Source organism: Homo sapiens, chromosome 20 (genome assembly GCF_000001405.40).
Source record: "Homo sapiens chromosome 20, GRCh38.p14 Primary Assembly".
Taxonomy (NCBI): Eukaryota; Metazoa; Chordata; class Mammalia; order Primates; family Hominidae; genus Homo; species Homo sapiens.
The window spans coordinates 63,054,382-63,072,468 of record NC_000020.11 but is presented as its reverse complement, the minus strand read 5'-3'; the positions used below and the strand labels follow the sequence as shown (position 1 = coordinate 63,072,468).

At 56.9% G+C, this 18,087-nt stretch overlaps 10 annotated features.

The window, feature by feature from the left end:
• Positions 564 to 633: a silencer, noted in NCBI's record as "silent region_13145". NCBI's record gives its function as "represses an Ori minimal core promoter by ATAC-STARR-seq in GM12878 lymphoblastoid cells {active_cell/tissue: GM12878}" and the evidence as "EXISTENCE:reporter gene assay evidence [ECO:0000049][PMID:35858748]".
• Positions 644 to 733: an enhancer, noted in NCBI's record as "active region_18224". NCBI's record gives its function as "activates an Ori minimal core promoter by ATAC-STARR-seq in GM12878 lymphoblastoid cells {active_cell/tissue: GM12878}" and the evidence as "EXISTENCE:reporter gene assay evidence [ECO:0000049][PMID:35858748]".
• Positions 2,223 to 2,722: an enhancer, noted in NCBI's record as "H3K4me1 hESC enhancer chr20:61701099-61701598 (GRCh37/hg19 assembly coordinates)". NCBI's record gives its function as "activates a minimal SCP1, AML or CMV promoter by ChIP-STARR-seq in naive H9 embryonic stem cells {active_cell/tissue: H9 hESC(naive)}" and the evidence as "EXISTENCE:reporter gene assay evidence [ECO:0000049][PMID:30033119]".
• Positions 2,325 to 2,525: a silencer, noted in NCBI's record as "peak4305 fragment used in MPRA reporter construct". NCBI's record gives its function as "represses an SCP1 promoter by STARR-seq MPRAs in K562 erythroleukemia cells {active_cell/tissue: K562}" and the evidence as "EXISTENCE:reporter gene assay evidence [ECO:0000049][PMID:32103011]".
• Positions 2,370 to 2,541: a silencer, noted in NCBI's record as "fragment chr20:61701280-61701451 (GRCh37/hg19 assembly coordinates)". NCBI's record gives its function as "represses an EF-1alpha promoter that drives an FKBP-Casp9 reporter gene in an ReSE screen in phorbol 12-myristate 13-acetate-treated (for megakaryocytic differentiation) K562 erythroleukemia cells {active_cell/tissue: K562(+PMA)}" and the evidence as "EXISTENCE:reporter gene assay evidence [ECO:0000049][PMID:32094911]".
• Positions 2,723 to 3,224: an enhancer, noted in NCBI's record as "H3K4me1 hESC enhancer chr20:61700597-61701098 (GRCh37/hg19 assembly coordinates)". NCBI's record gives its function as "activates a minimal SCP1, AML or CMV promoter by ChIP-STARR-seq in primed H9 embryonic stem cells {active_cell/tissue: H9 hESC(primed)}" and the evidence as "EXISTENCE:reporter gene assay evidence [ECO:0000049][PMID:30033119]".
• Positions 3,799 to 4,305: an enhancer, noted in NCBI's record as "H3K27ac-H3K4me1 hESC enhancer chr20:61699516-61700022 (GRCh37/hg19 assembly coordinates)". NCBI's record gives its function as "activates a minimal SCP1, AML or CMV promoter by ChIP-STARR-seq in naive H9 embryonic stem cells {active_cell/tissue: H9 hESC(naive)}" and the evidence as "EXISTENCE:reporter gene assay evidence [ECO:0000049][PMID:30033119]".
• Positions 11,183 to 12,024: an enhancer, noted in NCBI's record as "H3K4me1 hESC enhancer chr20:61691797-61692638 (GRCh37/hg19 assembly coordinates)". NCBI's record gives its function as "activates a minimal SCP1, AML or CMV promoter by ChIP-STARR-seq in primed H9 embryonic stem cells {active_cell/tissue: H9 hESC(primed)}" and the evidence as "EXISTENCE:reporter gene assay evidence [ECO:0000049][PMID:30033119]".
• Positions 12,025 to 12,867: an enhancer, noted in NCBI's record as "H3K4me1 hESC enhancer chr20:61690954-61691796 (GRCh37/hg19 assembly coordinates)". NCBI's record gives its function as "activates a minimal SCP1, AML or CMV promoter by ChIP-STARR-seq in naive H9 embryonic stem cells {active_cell/tissue: H9 hESC(naive)}" and the evidence as "EXISTENCE:reporter gene assay evidence [ECO:0000049][PMID:30033119]".
• Positions 15,827 to 16,027: a silencer, noted in NCBI's record as "fragment chr20:61687794-61687994 (GRCh37/hg19 assembly coordinates)". NCBI's record gives its function as "represses an EF-1alpha promoter that drives an FKBP-Casp9 reporter gene in an ReSE screen in phorbol 12-myristate 13-acetate-treated (for megakaryocytic differentiation) K562 erythroleukemia cells {active_cell/tissue: K562(+PMA)}" and the evidence as "EXISTENCE:reporter gene assay evidence [ECO:0000049][PMID:32094911]".

Genomic DNA, 18,087 nt, shown 5'->3' with positions numbered 1-18,087 from the left:
CAGCACTGCCCTTGCGGGGTCTCGGGGCGCGCGCCGTAGGGGAGCTGAGACCTCGGCGTTCCACGGCTGTGGGTGCAAAGGGGGCGCCCGTTCCCGCCGGGCCTCCCTCCGCCCCGCGCCCCGCTGCTGCCCCCGGACCCGCGGCCCCCTGGGAGGGCGGGAAACACCACCGGCCCCGCTGCGCCTCTGGGTGGGCTCTCCCCCCGCCGCCCGTGGGAGGGGTCGGTGGGCGCGCGGCTCCAAAAGCCCGAGCCCGGCCCACCCGGAGGAGCCCGGCGGCCTGCGCGGCGCCCGCTGCAGGCTCTGGGGGACGGCGGGGCCTGGGGGCGCGGGCAGGTGTGGGACCTGAGCCCGGAGCCCGGAGCGGAGGGTCAGAGGCGCAGCCGCAATCCCCGGCGGGAAGCCGCGGGGCGGGGCCTCGAGGGGCGGGGCTGAGAACAGTCGGTGCCTGCGGGGTCGGGGGCCGTGAGAGGAGCGGCTTTGGGGGCGGGGGCGGGGAGGAGCGGGTCCTTAGAGTGGGTGGCAGAAGCGGTGGGGTGGAACCAGGCAGAGCCTGTAGGGTACAGACGCGAGATGGGCGGAGCTGGGAAGTGGCCTTGTGGGCGGAGCTAAGAGGGGCGGGGTCTTATGGGGCGGGGCTTGTGGGGCTTTTCCAGACAGAAGCACGTGGGTCCACACGGTCAGTGCTAGACCAACCTTTGAAGCTCCAGCTGTGAGTGGGAGCCAGCGTTTTCTCAGGAGCATTCCTCAGGGAGGAATCAGGGCTTGGAGGCAAATCACTGTTGATCTCATCCGGCCTGACTGGCCTCTGACTCAGTCTCCTGTACTTCCAGTGGGGTGGGCTCTGAACCAGGGATCTGTCCAGGCCCCTGTCACCGAAAACGGCGTGGGGCTGGACAGGGTAGCATGTGAGGAAGGTCCTCTCTGAAAGGGGAGCTGGGCCTCCCACCCACCCGCCTCTGGAAGAAGGAACAAAGTGAGATCTTCTTAAGATGACTTCATTGAAATTTGTGGTGCAAATTCACGGGCTGAGCTGCAGAGAAGGGTAGGTGTCCTGGGTCACCACCTTTGCAGAGCTGCTGCGCCTGGCGCAGTGCCCTCTCACCAGCCCGGGCACCTGAGAGCTGGGGACCGAGGCAACACCTGTGAAGCTGAGTGCTGACCAAGGGGCCAGAGTTTACATGAGACCCTAGTAACATGACCCCTTTACAGATGAGGAAACCAAGAAAGGAATGAGGGTTCAAAAATGAGCTCTTCAATCTTCTCAGCTCCCCAAGGTCACACCCTCACTGCAGAGTCAGCACTCCACCAGACACGAGTTGTCCAGGGCCCATGACCTAGCCCACCATGCTGGGCTGTTTCCCCCCACTCAGCCTCCCTGTCTGGCTCCAAATCCTTTAGGCATCTCTGTTTTACCAGCAGGGTTTGGCAGCTTGAGCACCCAGCAGAGTGTCTACTTCAGGTTGCCTCCACCCCTGCCCACACTCAGCTCTGGCAGCCTGCTCTCATCCTCCACCTGCATCTGTCCCCTCTCAATGACAAGGGCTGAATGCTGGGCAAAGGGGGACACAGTACTGGGCAGATGCCCATCTAATGTGGCATGAAAAGCCGAGCAGCAGAGCCACGCTGACCAACACAGGCTCGTAGTTTTGCCTCCTGCTACTAGAATGAATTCTAGGTATTTGCAAATAGACTCGTGTTGACTTCAGAAAGTGAAATAATTGTTATCCAGCTAAATATTTTGTTTCATTAAGTGGGAAAGGAAATAGGGGCCAGGCGTATTGGCTGACACGTGTAATCCAACACTGTGGGAGGCCGAGGCAGGAGGATCACTTGAGCCCGGGAGTTCAAGACCAGCCTGGGCAATATAGTGAGACCCTGTGTTAAAAAAAAAAAAAAAGAAAGAAAGAAAGAAAAAGAAAAGAAAAGAAACAGAGGGAAATGGCCCAGCCTCCTGGGACTCCATATTTCAGCATAAACACAGTGTCACACAGTCAACAGCGCAGGGCATGCAGACCTCCTCCTTGGGTCAGCAGAGTTTGGAATCACAGCAGGAAGTGTCCCAAGTACGTCTGTCCTCCCTGCCTGCCTGCAACTCTCAGGAGAATCTCTGACGTTTCCACATCCTCTTCTCAAGGGACAAGCAGAGGAAGGCTCTCCCTCTGCCTCTGCTCCTTTGGGGAATTGCTGTGGGAGGGAGGGTGGGGTGGGGAGGAGGAGCAGGGGAAGAACAGAGAGGCTGGATCAAGGAAGGCTGAAGGTCTGACTGAAGTTAGTAAAAAGACGTGTATTCCCAAAGACACCCAGACAGAGCCATTGTCCAGGGCTGTGTTCAAGGCAAGCCCAGTTGCGATGGGGTTTGTTAAAGCCGCTCGAAGGTCTCCCAGGCTGGCAGGAGTGAAGGCTGGAACATGGTGTCGTCAGCACCTTGGAGAGGGCCCCCAGGCACAGAGCTGAGTCCTGGCCTGATCCCAAGGACAGCAGACCAGGCCAGCTCAGGCCGCCCCGCCCTGGGGACTGGCGGGCACAGGGCCCGGTCCCTCTCCAGACGGTGTTGCCAACAGCCCGCAAGGACGCCGGGTCCAGCCTGCCTCCCTGTGCTTCCCAAGTGTTGGCTTTCCTCCACCAGGGCTTTCTGACACGAGCCTCTGATGAGAGATGGCAGCTCAGCTCCGATGGGGGAACAGGGGCCTCTCTAGGCCAAGCATTCTAACTGGCCTCTAACTAGCAGTTTCAGAAGGCCAAGAGCTCATGAACAGAGCAAGTCCAGCTGCCCTGAGAAGCCGCATGTGCATGCATGCAGGGCGAGGGGCCCTGTGTCTCCCAGAGCCGGCACCTCCACTGGGGAGCATGGACCCGGTCCTCCCTCCCAACCCCGCAGCATCTCCTTGGATGGTGCTGGCTCTGCACCCCAAAATCAGGAAGAGGTCTGACCTCTTTAAAAACTCCCTCCCGGCCAGGCACGGTGGCTCACGCCTGTAATCCCAGCACTTTGGGAGGCCAAGGCAAGCTGATCACCTGAGGTCAGGAGTTCGAGACCAGATTGGCCAATATGGCAAAACCCTATCTCTACTAAAAATACAAAAATTAGCTGGGCGTGGTGGTGTGCACCTGTAATCCCAGCTACTCAGGAGGCTGAGCAGAAAAATCACTTGAACCAGGGAGGCAGAGGTTGCAGTGAGCCAAGATCATGCCGTTGCACTCCACTCCAGCCTCAGTGACACAGCAAGACTCTGAAAACAAACAAACAAACAATAAAAAAACTCCCTCTCCCTTGGAAAATCCCTGAATGACTTGGACAAGGAGCTCCTGTTTTCTCTGGGAGGGAGGAGACATGCAGATTCCTCTCTGGGAGGAAAGGGGGAAGGTCCTTGTGCTGTCTGTGGGATGGCCAGCCTGCTATTTCTGTAGAAACACCTCATCGCACCTTCTTGCTGCCCACCTCGGCAGGCCCGGGCATCTCTGGGCTCCAGGACAGCAGATGGTTTCAGTGGGATGGGCACCGAGTCCAGCTCCCCAGAGCCGGGGGTGGTGGGTGGCAGCGCTGCCTCCTCCCATCCTGGCCATGGCCCCCGATGCCCTCACCCTCAATGCTATCCTGACCAGGGCTGGCAGGGCAGACAGGAAGCGGGAGGCCTAGTGGGGCTGTTGTTGGCAGAGGCTTCCTGGTGGCCCCTCCTTGTCTGGGGTCTGTTCGGCCCCCACTGCTGGGTGTCAATGCTGGGGCTGACTTTGCTGCTGTGGGGGTGGGGACTGGGGTGCAGGCCCCACTGCTGGGTGTCAATGCCGGGGCTGCCTTTGCTGCTGTGGGGGTGGGGACTGGGGTGCAGGCCCCACTGCTGGGTGTCAATGCCGGGGCTGCCTTTGCTGCTGTGGGGGTGGGGACTGGGGTGCAGGCCCCACTGCTGGGTGTCAATGCTGGGGCTGCCTTTGCTGCTGTGGGGGTGCGGACTGGGGTGCAGGCCCCACTGCTGGGTGTCAATACTGGGGCTGCCTTTGCTGCTGTGGGGGTGGGGACTGGGGTGCAGGGAGGGGACGGGTGAATAAACAGACACAGGTGGGCAGAGGCAGACAAAAGCCCATGAATTCAGCGTGGGGCCCAGCTCCCACCTCTGCCTCTGGGTCTCACACACGGCAACAGCCTGGCTGGCTCGCGGCCCAGGGGCTGGTGCTTGGTGGTCAAGGAGTGTGAGGCCATCAGAGCTCCACAAAGCGCTGTGGGGTGCTGCACATCCCAACCCTGCTCCCCAAAACGTCAGCCAGGTGTTCAACGCATGAATAAGTGAGTGAATGAATGAATGAATGAGTAATTTGGTGGCTGAACCAATGAGTGAATGAGGGAACAGGCGAATCCGTGAGCAACTCTGAGTGAAGAAGAGTGAGCCTCGAAGGAGAGTGATGTCAGGAGATGGCAGGTGCTGGCAATTCGTCCACTGGCAGCCCACGTGGGATGTTTCTCATCGTAGCCACAGGGCAGGCATAGGCCGTGCTCAGGCACACGGGGGTCTCGACGCCCCCGCGGGTCTCGACGCCCCTGCCTCCCTCCAGTCCTGGCCACACTGCCCCTTTGCAGGGAGCCCTTCCTGGTCCTCAGTGTTTATAGCTGCTGTCCCCTTCTACTGGGTGCTCCCCTGGCCGTGACCTCACCACCAGCCAGGCTGGCTTTTGTTCTCCTAAGCATCTCTCCTCCCCTCACCCACCATGAGCTCCACGGGCTGAGGTCTCGGCCCACCCCTCCTCCCTCCCACCTCTTTCTCTCTTTCTCCAGGTCCTTGTAGGTGCTTGGTGAGTTTCCTCATTCTACAAGTCCAGGCATTCATTCATGTGTGTGTAACACACTTAATATACAGTCCTTCATTTTGCTGAACCTACACAGGGGCATTCACCTTGACATCAAAAACAAAACGCTGAGTGGCCCCAGGTGGACATGCCGGTGCTGGCAGGCTCTGCATCCCACAGATGCTCCCGTGGGAAGGGCCCGGCACAAGGACTGTCCTTCCGGGTTGGGGTGGGGCAAGTGGGTATGTCCCAGCACCGGCCTGACCACTCGAGGCAGGAGGCAGACAGGGGCACATCCCCCTGCAGCCCGAGGCCCTGCCTTCTGCACGCGCCGCCCATCCACACAGCAACTTTGTCATTGTCCTCTTCCCCCACCAGGTCTTTCCAGGACTGGTGAAGGCAAAGTACTCACGTGTCAACATCTCAAACCTGGGAACCTTTGAATTCCATATTTCATGATCACGCTGTCCCCACAAGGTCGCAGGCACTCAGGGATCAAAGCCCTTCCCCTAACTGAAGGACGCCCAGACCCTTGTGCTCCAAAGCTCAGACAGAAGGACCTCCGTCTACACCCAAAATAGAAAAGACACGGGCCTGGGCGGCGCCAGGCAAACGAGCAGGAGAAACACGGTTACATAACCTGGTGCAGCAGGGGACCACGGAGAACCGCGGCTTGGCCTCTTGTTTGACACTTTAAATTAGCATAAAATTTAGCATTATCTAATCTGAGCCAAAAAAATTCAACCAGAAATGGCCTTGGTGGTGAGCATGTATTATTTTACTTAAAATAACAGAAAAGTGTCAGGGAAGTCACCGTTCCAGGCCCTCAGAATGTCGTATGGCCTGTGGGTCCCCACGAGATCCCTAGAGAGGTCAGGGAGGGGTCAGGGAGAGCCTGGAGCAGTCAGGGAGGGGCCTCTGTGGCACTGCCATATGAAGCCAGGTGAGAGGGCTGTGATCTTGCCCCGTGAAGTCTGAGGGCTGAAACAGGCTCTGTCCGGGGGCTGCCCAGGCGTGGCTGCCCTGGGGGACGGCAGCCGCAGCCTCGTCCTTTCCTGTCCCCATCCTTTCTTCCCGGGCCTGACCCAGGACAAGGCTTTCAGGAGAAGAGGGCCGCCTGGCTCTACCACTGAGCATTTGCTGCTGGCAAGGCCCAGGCTGCTGTGGTCTCATTTGCAGTGATTCCCACAAGAGGAAGAGAAGCAGGGGGAAAAGACCGCACCTCAGGCCTCCATCTCCGTGATGGTGACTGCTGGGCGGGAAAACAGAGCATCTCCTGGAGTGTCCGCAGCCTGCATGGGGCAGCGAGTTAAAGCCAACCCTAGCCTCTGCTTTGCAGCAGGCCTGAGGTCCAGTGAGGGGTTGGGGGTTTGAGATAAACCATCCCCCATCCCAAACCCTAGAGAAGCTGATGTCCACGAATGCACAGCCAGGATCCACCCCGGCCCAAACCAGAGCCGCCCAGCCCATGGAAGCTGCGGACCCAGCGTCCCTGCAGTTAGAGGACAGCACAGAGAACAGAGCATCCTCACCAGGACCCACCCTGGGGTTTGTTTAAAATGCCGACCTAAGGAAAGCCTGTTGAAGGCCAGTGGCATGCATGGCTGAGAGCAAGGCCTTGGCTGCCTGGACGTCCCCGGTTCCCAAGGGCCGCTGCCTGGCAAGCCCAGTCGGAGTCCTGGTAAGCCAGTGGCGCTCAGATGTGAGCCCCGGCAGCCACAGGCAGGAGGCTACCGTCCTCCCCTCAGCGCTGCCACGAGCCTCCGTGGCCAGTGCTTGGTTCAGGCCGGGTCCTCTCTTTCTGTCTGCATCCCGGCCTCCTCCCGGTTTGCGTTGTTATTTTAGCACCCTGACTCCACAACCATTCAGGACATTTTTAAGCTGTGGAAAACAGAGCCAGCTGATGAACAATGACTTCTAAAATTATTTCAGTTCTGAAGCTTGGAAGAGAATTAAAGTCTTGGCAGAAGGTGTGGAGTCTCATTTCCCCTGTTTTTGCTCCAAGGCGGCACCAGCCTCGGCTGATTCTCCAGAGACAATCAAACGGCTCCCGGAAGACACCCCAGTCATTCCATCGTCCTCGGTGGCTGGAGCTCGACCCAGGTGAGGCAATGTCACCTCTCAGAGCCTGGCACCGAGCACGGCCTCCGCACCTGCCACGTCCCTGACCCCAGGGGCACCACGGCCCAGGCAGCCGGATGCAGCACTTCCTGCGGGGGGTGGGGGGTGCTGTGTCTGCAGGACGAGGGATTATGCTGGAGCCCCCACTGGCAGGGACGTGCCTAGAGCCATGGCAGAGGCGGCCTCACGCACCTGAAGGACAAACCGGAGTGCAACCAGGCCTGGAACGCCACCTCCCACCACCCTGCTCCAGCAACGCCTGCTGGCTCCGGGCTGGTTCTGATGCACATTCCCGCTTGCAGTTTGGTTTTCCATTGAATTGGCCGCGTGGTACGCCCTTGAAACGTCCTTTCCCAGCCAGTGGCTGTTTAATTCCCCTCTCTCTGCTGAGCCCTGTGGCTGGCGCCAGGCTGTGCCGCCTCCTTGGGGTGGGTGCCGCGTGTGGACGGAGCAGAGGACGAATGCTGTGGCTTCTGCTTCTGAAAACTGAATCTGACCCAGAAACTGTTCTGGACAGACCATGAGAAAATGCCTCAGGCTGCACCAGGAGGCAGCTCCGCGTTTGGGGAAGGCACGCGGAAGTGAGTGTGAGAAGCTGTCTCTCATGAGTACTCAAGGTCATGACCCCTCAGGGAACCGGAGCAGGAGTCCAGGGCACCCGCAGCGTATTCTGACATCACCAGCCTGAGTGCCACAGGCCGGAACCCTGCCCTCCCAGCCCTGGTACCAGGAGAATGGGAGGGAACCTCGGGGGCCTGCTCAGGGTTGGCATCTGCCTCTCAGAGGGGGTCTCTGTCCCAGCAGGAAGTCATGGGGGACCTAGGTGTCTCAGCAGGAAGCCATGGGGACTGCTTAGGCCCTCATAGCAGCTGACTGGCAAAGAGAAGCTGAAAGCACCCAGCTCCCTGGGTCTTGGCTGGGTGCCGCCCCTGACATCAGCCCTGTGCTGTGCTGAGCTACCAGTGGCTTCCTGCCTCTGCCCACCAACCAGAGCCCGGGCGGCCTCCAGCCCCACCCCACTTCGCCTGGCTCCGCCCTGCAGGCCACGCTCACCACTCCCTTGGCCTTGCCCTCGGATTGCCCTGCTCTCGGGGCCACACGGAAGCCGATACAATGCCCGTGGGGCATGAAGCCCGATGGCCTCCAGGGTAAAATGGCATCCCCGAGATTGGAGGCTCCATCCGAAGCACAGCGTGATCCCCAGTGCAGGCATCCTGGCCCTCAGACGCAAATGGAGCCCGTTCTCTTGCAGGACCTCGGCCCATGCAGGTCAGTGGGGGCCGTGCCGAGGTCCACACCAACACCCGGGGAACGTGGCCTTCGGCCCTCAGAGCCCACGGCCCCAGAGAAGACCCCAGGTTGTGCAGCTCCCTGGAAATAAAGTAGAACAGCCTCACAAAGCTTCATGACCCTGGATTGGACAACGGTTCCCTGGATATGACACCAGAGGCACAGGCAATAAAAGAAAAAACAGACACACTGGACTTCAGGAAAACTTTAAATTATTCACCTTAACAGACAATCTCAGCAGAATCAAAGGCAACCCAGAAAACAGGAGAAAATATTCGCAAATCATATATCTGATAAGGAATGAACATCCAAAATGTACAGAGAACTCCTAAAACTCAATAAGAGCAAAAATCCCAACTCAAAAATGCATGGAGGGCATGGCTAAGTGTTTCTCCAAAAAGACACACACACGGCCAATAGGCACGTGAAACAACATCGCTAACCATGAGGAAAACGCAAATCAGAACCACAGTGCGATGCGCCTCACACCCGCTGGGATGGCTACCGTAAGAAGAAGCTGAAAATAAGAAATGTTGGTGAGGATGTGGAGAAACTGGAACCCTCGTGCACGGCTGGTGGGGGATGTAAAATGGTGCCTCCACTGTGGAAAACAGGATGGCACTCCCTCAAAAAACTCAGAATGGGCCGGACACAGTGGCTCATGCCTGTAATCCCAGCACTTTGGGAGGCCAAGGCAGGCGGATCCCAAGGTCAAGAGTACGAGACCAGCCCAGCCAACATGGTGAAACCCCGTCTCTACTAAAAATACAAAAATTAGCCAGGTGTGGTGGCCGGCACCTGTAATCCCAGCTATTGGGGAGGCTGACAGAGAAGAATCACTTGAACCCAACAGACGGAGGTTGCAGTGAGCCGAGATCGCGCCACTGCACTCCAGCCTGGGTGACAGAGCAAGACTCTGTCTCAAAAAAAACAAAAACAAAAAAACAAAACAAAACAAAACAAAACTCAGAATGACCATGTGATCCGGCCATTCCACGGCTGAGTGCACCCGCAAAAGAACTGAAAGCAGGATCTCAAAGAGACACTTTATACCCATGTTTGCAGCAGCATTGTTCATAATAGCTAAAACATGGAAGCAACCGTATCCATTGAGAGATGAATGAATAGACAGAATGTGTCTATCCACACAATGGAATATTATTCAGCCTTTAAAAAGGAGGGAAATTGTGACGGAGGCTACAACGTGGATGAAGCTTGAGGACATGCTAATGAAATCAGCCAGTCGCAGAGGACAATACTGTAGGTGTCCACTCACACGCGGTCCCAGAGCTGCCACATTTGTAGAGACAGAAAGTAGAAAGGGGAGGCCGGGGGCTGGGGGAGGAGGCGTGGGGAGCTGTTTAATGGGGACAGAGCCTGGGTTTGGGAAGGTGAAAGGCGTTCTGGAGATGGACAGTGGTGATGGCACAACCATGGGAATGTCCTTAGTGTCATTGAACTGTTCATTAAAAATGGCTGAGATGATAAAATTTTATGTGTGTTTTACCACAATAAACAAAACTTGGAGAAAAAAGTAGAACAGCCTTGAGTCCAACCAGCTCGAGACCACACTCCCTCAATCCTGGGGGACACTCCTAATTACACCCCGGAGTGACAGGGAAGGGCCGGGGGCGTCAGGGGGACCCAACTGCAGGAACCCCACATTCAAGCCCACCAGCTCCAAGGCTCACACTAAAAATCCCAGGAATGAGGCAGCCTGGCAAACCTCTGAGCTACTTTCTTATCTTCTTTAAAACGCCCCAGAATGTACTGTTGGGCTTAGAATGGGGATTCTCTCGGGGTCCAGCTGTACATGTAAATACCAAGTGGCTGGGAAGGGGGACAGGGTGGGGCCAAGCACCCCCGGCTCTCTGAGCAGAGAGGACTTTGAGCCTCCTGGGACCGGGGGCAGTGGCGCTCGGGGGCTTCACGCTCTCCCCCATGGAGCACAAGGGGCTTTTGTTTTTGTTTATTTTTTCTGGTCAAGAAATGTGCCTGCTTTTCCCTCTTTTTTCCTTTTCGGGCTGCAGTAAAGGAAAGGCCGAAAGAGCTCCCCCACATCAGGGTGAAGAAGAACACGGACAGGACACGGACATAGACAGGACATGGACACAGACAGGACACGGACATGGACAGGACACGAACACAGACAGGACACGGACATGGACAGGACACGAACACAGGACACGGACATGGACAGGACACGAACACAGACAGGACACAGACATGGACAGGACACAGACATGGACAGGACAAGGACATGGACACAGACACGGACAGGACATGGACATGGACAGGACACGAACACAGACAGGACACAAACAGGACACGGACACAGACAGGACACAAACAGGACACGGACATGGACAGGACACGGACATGGACACAGACACGGACAGGACACGGACATGGACAGGACATGGACATGGACACGGACACGGACAGGACACGGACATGGACAGGACACGGACACAGACAGGACATGGACAGGACACGGACATGGACAAGACACAGACACAGACACGGACAGGACACGGACATGGACACAGACACGGACAGGACATGGACATGGACATGGACAGGACTCGGACACAGACATGGACAGGACATGGACACAGACAAGACATAGACACGGACAGGACATGGACATGGACAGGACACGGACACAGACAGGACACAGACAGGACACAGACATGGACAGGACACGGACACAGACAGGTTATGGACAAGACATAGACAGGACACTGACAGGACACGGACAGGACATAGACATGGACACAGACAGGACATGGACATGGACACAGACACAGACGCGGACACAGGACATGGACATGGACACAGACACAGACACGGACTCGGACACGGACACAGATATGGACAGGACACGGACACAGATATGGACAGGACACGGACACAGACAGGACACGGACAGGACACAGACACGGACACAGGCAGGACACGGACAGGACACGGACATGAATAGGACATGGACACAGACACGGACAGGACACGGACACGGAGAGGACACAGACAGGACGTGGACATGGACAGGACACGGACAGGACACAGACAGGACACGGACAGGACACGGACACAGACAGGACATGGACACAGACAGGACGCAGACACAAACAGGACACGGACACGGACAGGACATGGAGGGCTTAGTAATGAAACCAGGCTCTCCCTTCCTCTTGGGAAAAGCACTGGAAGGTGCTAGGCACCAGAGGAGGGGCCAGGGAGTGCCAGGAGGTCCTCCAGTTCCCCTCCCGGCCCTGATGGGACATCAGGGGTCCCTTTTCTCACCCAGGCCCCTAACCACTGTGGTCACCCCTGCCAGAGCCCCCCACCCCCAGGGCCTTCCCTTGAGTGACGGATCCCTGGCAGCCTGTGTCAGGGCCACTGCGAAGGCTTCAGAGGGCAACTCTCTGATCTTTCTTGTGATGAAGGCCCCCACCCATCTGGTGGGGCTGTGGCTTGGGCTGGGATCCTTCCGCCTTCCGGGCACCCTGCCCTGGGCCAGGGCTTCTTCCTGCTCAAGGAAGCCCTTCTCCTGCAGCTCAGGCCCTCTTTCTTGCCAGAGCCCCGAGGCAGGAGGCTGGGAGAAGGGAAGGGGGCGTGTCATGCACAGGAAGTACCCCCACTTCACCTTTTCCTGGGTCGGGGACAAAGGGCCAGGCACTGCTGGGGGAAGCAGGACTTCCACAGAGCCCCAGGGCCAGCCAGGAGGGGACTGGAAGGTTCTGAAACAGCTTCCCAGGCAGCCTGAGGAGGGAGGCCACAAACAGCTGGGAGGAGGGACCAGGACAGGATCTGTCTCCCTCACTGAACAGGGATGCTCAGCCGCAGATGGTGACTCACCCTGTGAGCTCTGGGCGCCGGAGCAAGGCCAGCTGGCTGATAATTGGCCAGGACCGACTTCGCTGTTTTAATATCCCGAGTGCCACTCTCCCGCCAGCCTCAGGGAACCATTTCTGTCAGGGCTTTTCTAAGCTTTGACTCCCACTTTCTGCCAAACACCATCGGAAAACAGCCCGATTGTCCCACCTGCTGAGGACCACAGCCATTGTGAGCTTGCGTGACCCCAACAAGCCCTCTTAGGGCCAGGACCCCTCCGAGGACGAGGAGCTGAGTGGGGCTTAGAGCCTGGCCTTCTCCTCTTCCCACACGGGTGGGGGCTCGCCCCACACTCCAACAAGGGAGCCCCCGGCCAGGCAGACGATGGGGTCACATGGGGGCAAGAGATGGAATCAAAGATATCACAAACCAACCGGAGCCGCAGGCAGAACAAAGCAGAGCCAAGGGGGCCTCCGCGCCCCTGCTGACCCTCTCGGGGGCTGCACGCACAGCCGGGGTCCACCTGACCCACTGAGTTAGCCCCAACTGCCGAGGGAGCCCCAGAAGTTGGCTGAGTCTGCAGATGAGGGAAGAGGCCAAGTGCCTTCCCCACGTGGTAGCTGCACGGGGGTGCCCAGGCAGGGCACCGAAGGTGGAGGAATGACCACAGGCCCTCGCGATCAGCCCTCGCCCCTTGGCTGCAGGCTATGCTGTGGCCGTTGTCAAGGACATTTGGAAGCCGGGCGCAGTGGCTCACACCTATAATCCCAGCACTGTGGGAGATTGAGGTGGGCAGATCACTTGAGGCCAAGAGTTCCAGAGCAGCCTGGCCAACATGGTGAAAACCCGTCTCTACTAGAAATACAAAAAAACTAGCTGGGCATGGTGGTGCACACCTGTAATCCCAGCTACTGGGGAGGCTAAGGCACGAGAATTACTCAAACCGGGAGACGGAGGTTGAGGTGAGCGAAGATCATACCACTGCACTCCAGGCTGGATGACAGACAGAGATTCCATCTCAAAAAACAAAACAAAACAAAACAAAACAAAAGGACATTTGGAGCCAGCGCTCACAGTGGCCTGGCTGCCAATCAGTGTGCCCTTAAAAGCTGAATCCAGAACCAGGTAAGGGTGAAATGCAAGGACCCCAAAAAGGGAAAGACACAGACGGTGCAGCCTGGGACATGTGCTTGTTCCTGCGTGTGTCTACTGTGTCTGTTCGCTGGTGCTAAGGAGCTGGGGTTGATCCTGGAGGAGGCACCTCCTACCTCCTCCCATCTGGAGGAGGCACCTCCTACCTCCTCCCATCTGGAGGAGGCTTCTCCTGCAGTGGTGCCCAGCCCACCTGAGCCACAGCTGAAGGGCCTTCGCCAGCCCCTGTGGCCTCCCAAAGGGGAAAGCGGGCTCCTTAATGGGCGAGGAGCTGGATGACCAGCAGGCAGCAGCACACCCTCCCATGCCTCCCGCGCTCTGTGGACAGCCACCTCTGTGCGCTCTGGAGCCTGGGGCTGGTCAAGCCTACAGGGCCCCACCACCTGGGAAAGGGGGAAGTCACCTGTGGCCCTGAACTGGGGGGCCTCAAGCCATCTGCCAACAGAGGAAGTCAAAGGCCACCAACAGGCCATGCTGACCACAGCCTGGTCACTGCTGGCGCAGAAGAGGGGCTTGGAGTCCGAGGACTTCACCATGAGCACCGTAGGGAGGCAATGCCAGACCCCTGTTGGTGTGGTGTGTTTGAGGATGCACACAGAGCACAGGTGTGTACACACTCCCATGCAGGCACTCACAGAGCTGGTGCACACAGGGCAATCCACACACACGTGTACACACAGAGCAGTCGGACCTCTCTCTTGAAGCTGTATCCAAATATGCTTCCCTCTCACCCACAGATCCCCCAAGGCAGGGGCTTGGGGGTGTTTCCTGAACCACAAGCCGCTCAGGAGGGAGAACAGTTAACTTTGTTTCCCAGCCCTGTGTCTCAGCTGGATCCACAGACTTTAATAGAGTTTTACAAGAGCTTTGCCCTGATCTGTGCTGGCAACCAGAATTCAAACATCACCCATTAACGCCTCGTGAAAATGTCCTCAGTGTGAGTGACTGACAGGGTTTGGGGTGCGGCATTGCCTCTTCTCTTCTTGCATTTTTTTCTCTTCTCACCAGATGGATTTATTGAATTGGAAAGAAAGTCACAGAAATATTTTGTCTTATATTGGTAGTTAAGATATGAGATTAGCCAGGAGAGAGGGGGAAGAAACTTCAAAAAATGAAGGACAAGAATGTTGGGGCCAAGGCATGCCCCCTTCAGAGAGAACAAAGGAGACGCTGCAGCTCCAGGGGCTGCTGAGCTGCTGCAGGACCTTGAGTCCTGCTTAGACCAGGAGAACTGGACACTGCTTCTGGCAGCAGCTGAACAGGAGGGAAAGGTACCTTACTCTTTCCCTGTGTACAAAGGAGTGACTGAGTAAACAAATGAGTGAGTGAGTGTGTGTAAATAAATTAATGAATGTGTGTGGATGAGTGAGTGAACAAGTGAGTGCATGTGTGTGAAGGAATGAGTGAGCAAACAAGTGAGTGTGTGAATGAATGAGTGACTAAAGGAATGAGTGGGTGAACAAATGAGTGAGTAAACAAATGAGTGTGTGTGAATGAATGATTGAATTAGCGAGTGAACAAATGAGTGTGTGAATGAGTGAATGAAGGAATGAGTGAGTGAACAAATGAGTGTGTGAATGATTGAGTGAAGGAATGAGTGAACAAATGAGTGTGTGAATGAATGAGTGAAGAAAGGAGTGAACAAATGAGTGTGTGAATGAATGAGTGAAGGAATGAGTGAACAAATGATTGCATGAATGAATGACTGATCAAATGAATGTGTGAATGAATGTGAGTGAACGAGTGAATGAAGCAATGAGTGAGTGAACAACTGTGTGTATGAATCAGTGTGTCCATGAATGAGTGAATGTGTGTGAGTGAATGAGTGAAAGAAATGAATGAGTGAACAAGAGTGAGTGAACAAATAAGTGTGTGCATGAATCAGTAAGTGTGTGCATGAATGAGTGAATGTGAATGAGTGAGTAAACAAATGATTGTGTGTGAGTGTACAAATGAGTGTGTGTGAATGGGTGAGTGAACAAATGAGTGTGTGTGAATGAGTGAGTGAATGAAGGAATGAGTGACTGAACAAATGCGTGAGTGTATGTGAATAAGTGAATGAATGAGTGAACAAATGAGTGTGTGTGAATGAATGAATGAAAAAAGGAGTGAACAAATGAGTGCATGTGTGAATGAGTGAATAAGGAAATGAGTGAACAAATGAGTATGTGTGAATGAATGAGTGAATGAAGGAATGAATAAGTGAACAAATAAGTATGTGAATGAATGAGTGAACAAATGAGTGTGTAAATGATTGAGTGAAGGAATGAGTGAACAAATGAGTGTGTGTGAATGAGTGAATGAGTGAATGAGCGAGTGAATGAATGAGTGAATGAGCGAGTGAATGAGCGAGCGAATGAGTGAGTGACTGCATGAGTGAGAACCTGGGAGTGCAGGCGGGGCCGAGCCGCCGCGGTCACAGTAGCACTGGGGGCGGTGGGCGGGAGACCCCTCCTTAGAGGCCCACGTGCTGGACCCCTCAGCTCTGCCAAAGATGAAATGCCCCCAGACGGGCCAAGGGCTACCCCCAGTGGTTGCAGTAGTGATGGCGCCTCCCCATCCCTGTGGCTGTCGCCTGTCTGCTGCTTTCCCCAGAAGACTTGGGGGCCTGGAGACCCCAAAGTGTGGCGTCCACTGCCAGCCCCGCCAGCCCCGCCAGCCCCGCCAGCCCCGCCAGCCCTCTGCTGCCCTCTGCTGGCCAACTCGATCCACAGCGGCTCCTGGCGGTCGAGGGGAGGGGGACCAAAAGGGACCACAGGGGCGAATTGGGACGATGTCAGCTCCTGCCAGCATCACGGAGCCGGTTGCCACAGTGACGGGCTGCTGTGCGGGCCCTCTGCAAAGCAGGGAGTGCAGCCGTCCTCATTCCACCAGAGCCAAATTCCTCACGCTCTGCCTCCCAGCGAAACCCATGTGACCACGGGCCCAGGGAAGGGGGAAGGGGTGTGGGAGCGGCCGGGCCACTCTGTGCCCCGGGCACCCTGGGCATCGCAAGCCTGGCTCTGCCTGGGACGCCCTCAGCTGGCCCCTCATTCCTCCTTCCAGGTCAGGCCTCCAAATGCTTTCGCAGCCCTGTCCCCGCCAGTCAGACCCGGAGGATGCCAGGGGTCGCCAGTGGCTGCCCTGCCCAGCTCAGAGAGGAGACGATGTACTCAGCCAGAGTGGAGGCCGGGGGCCTGACAGAGGCAGGCGGCACCAGCCAGCCCCCCAGCCCTGTCCTGAGGCTGCTGAGCATGACACCCACTGGGGAGGTGGGCAGCTGACCCAGGGCCTGGCAGGGAGCCGGCTGTAGCACTGCCTGAATCAGGACCCAAGCTCCAGCTGCTCCTGCTCCAAGCTGCCCCTGGCAGCTCTGCCAGCATGCAGGGCACAGCCATGGAGAGGGGACACCCACATGCACTGGGCCAGCTGCAGGCCTGCAGGGCCACCGGGCATCTCACCCATCCTGCCACCCAGCGAGGACAAGGGGCAGAGGAGGAAGCATGGCATGAGGGAGGGTGGAGGGGGAAGAGGGGAGGGAGACCCCATGGCCTGGGCCCCAGCCCACCCCCAGGCCCAGAGCTGCTGTCCACGTGGGAGGACTGGGGCCCCAGGAGGGCGGAGGAAGACCCAGCTCCCGTGGGAGGCTGCCAGGGACTCCCCTGCAGGTTAGGAGCCTCCAGATGTTGCTGCAACATCGATCTTTCCCATTTCTCGAGTTATTACTTTATGTAAACAAACACGAGAGTTGCTGGTTCTAAATAAAGTTGTTTGTCTATGTAAATTAATATATCATATTCTCTCCTGAAATAGAATTATTTGTCTCTGGAGGAATCACGTTAAAGACTGACATAGGGTATAACTGTATCATTTACATATGCAGATATGTCTAATTATTCAACTTGCAATTAAAGGCTTGTGTGTCAGCAAATGAGACTAATTAGACACATTTATCTATGATAATCAGCTTTTTACAAACAAAATAGATCCCCCTTGGTTGATCAGGGAAAGCTGCTGGACCGGGGCCCTTCTCCCGTCGGGCACCTCTCACCAGCCTCACTCCACACCCCCCAGCTACACCCCAGCCCTGGTTTGTGGGGGACAGGGAGAGCCCAGGCTTCCCGCCCTTCAGAGGTGGATCTGAGGCAGCAGTCACGAGGCCTCTCAGTCCCCACTGGGGTTGGGCCCCAGCTGCCCAGCCCTCCACTGCCCTGGCCCCTCCGGCTGCCCCGGCCCCTCTGGTGTGCTCCTGGAACTGCCCCCTATTAACTCCACACACAAACCCTGGTGGGGCGTGCCCAGAGGGCTTGAGGAGCTACTACCTTGCTTTCAAAGCTCTGTGCCTTTGAGACCGTGACTGTGTGGTTCACACCCCCATCTTCAAGGCTGGACTCTCCTGGCCCATGGACCCCGCTGGTTCTCCCCTTCCTGGGCACCCCAACTCCACAGCCCTGTGCCCCTTGACCAGGCTGTTTCTGGCCAGGGTGGGCTGACATGCCGGGGACTTGATGGCCCCGGAGCAGTCTCCAGGCAGGTCCTGGGTGAGAAAGCCCTGGGCAGCTGAGGACCTGGTGAGGCTGAGCCCAGAAGCCTGGCCGTGGCCTGCCTGATGGCCGCCCTGGTCACTGGGCATCTCACCTCCCACTCACCTGCTGCTGTGCTCTCAGAGTCACCTCCAAAATAAACAACTTTCCCTCCTTAAGTAGGATGAACAGGGCCCCCAAATATGTCCACCCATAACCACAGAATGTGGCCTTATTTGGAATAAGGTCTTTGCAGATGTAATTAGGGTAAGGATCATGGATTAGAGTGGGCCTCAAATCCCATGAAGGGTGCCCTCATAAGAGATGGAGAAGCTGAGACAGGTAGATTTGGAGAAAAACGCCACGGAAAACAGAGGCAGAGATTGGAGTGATGCGGCTGCAAGCC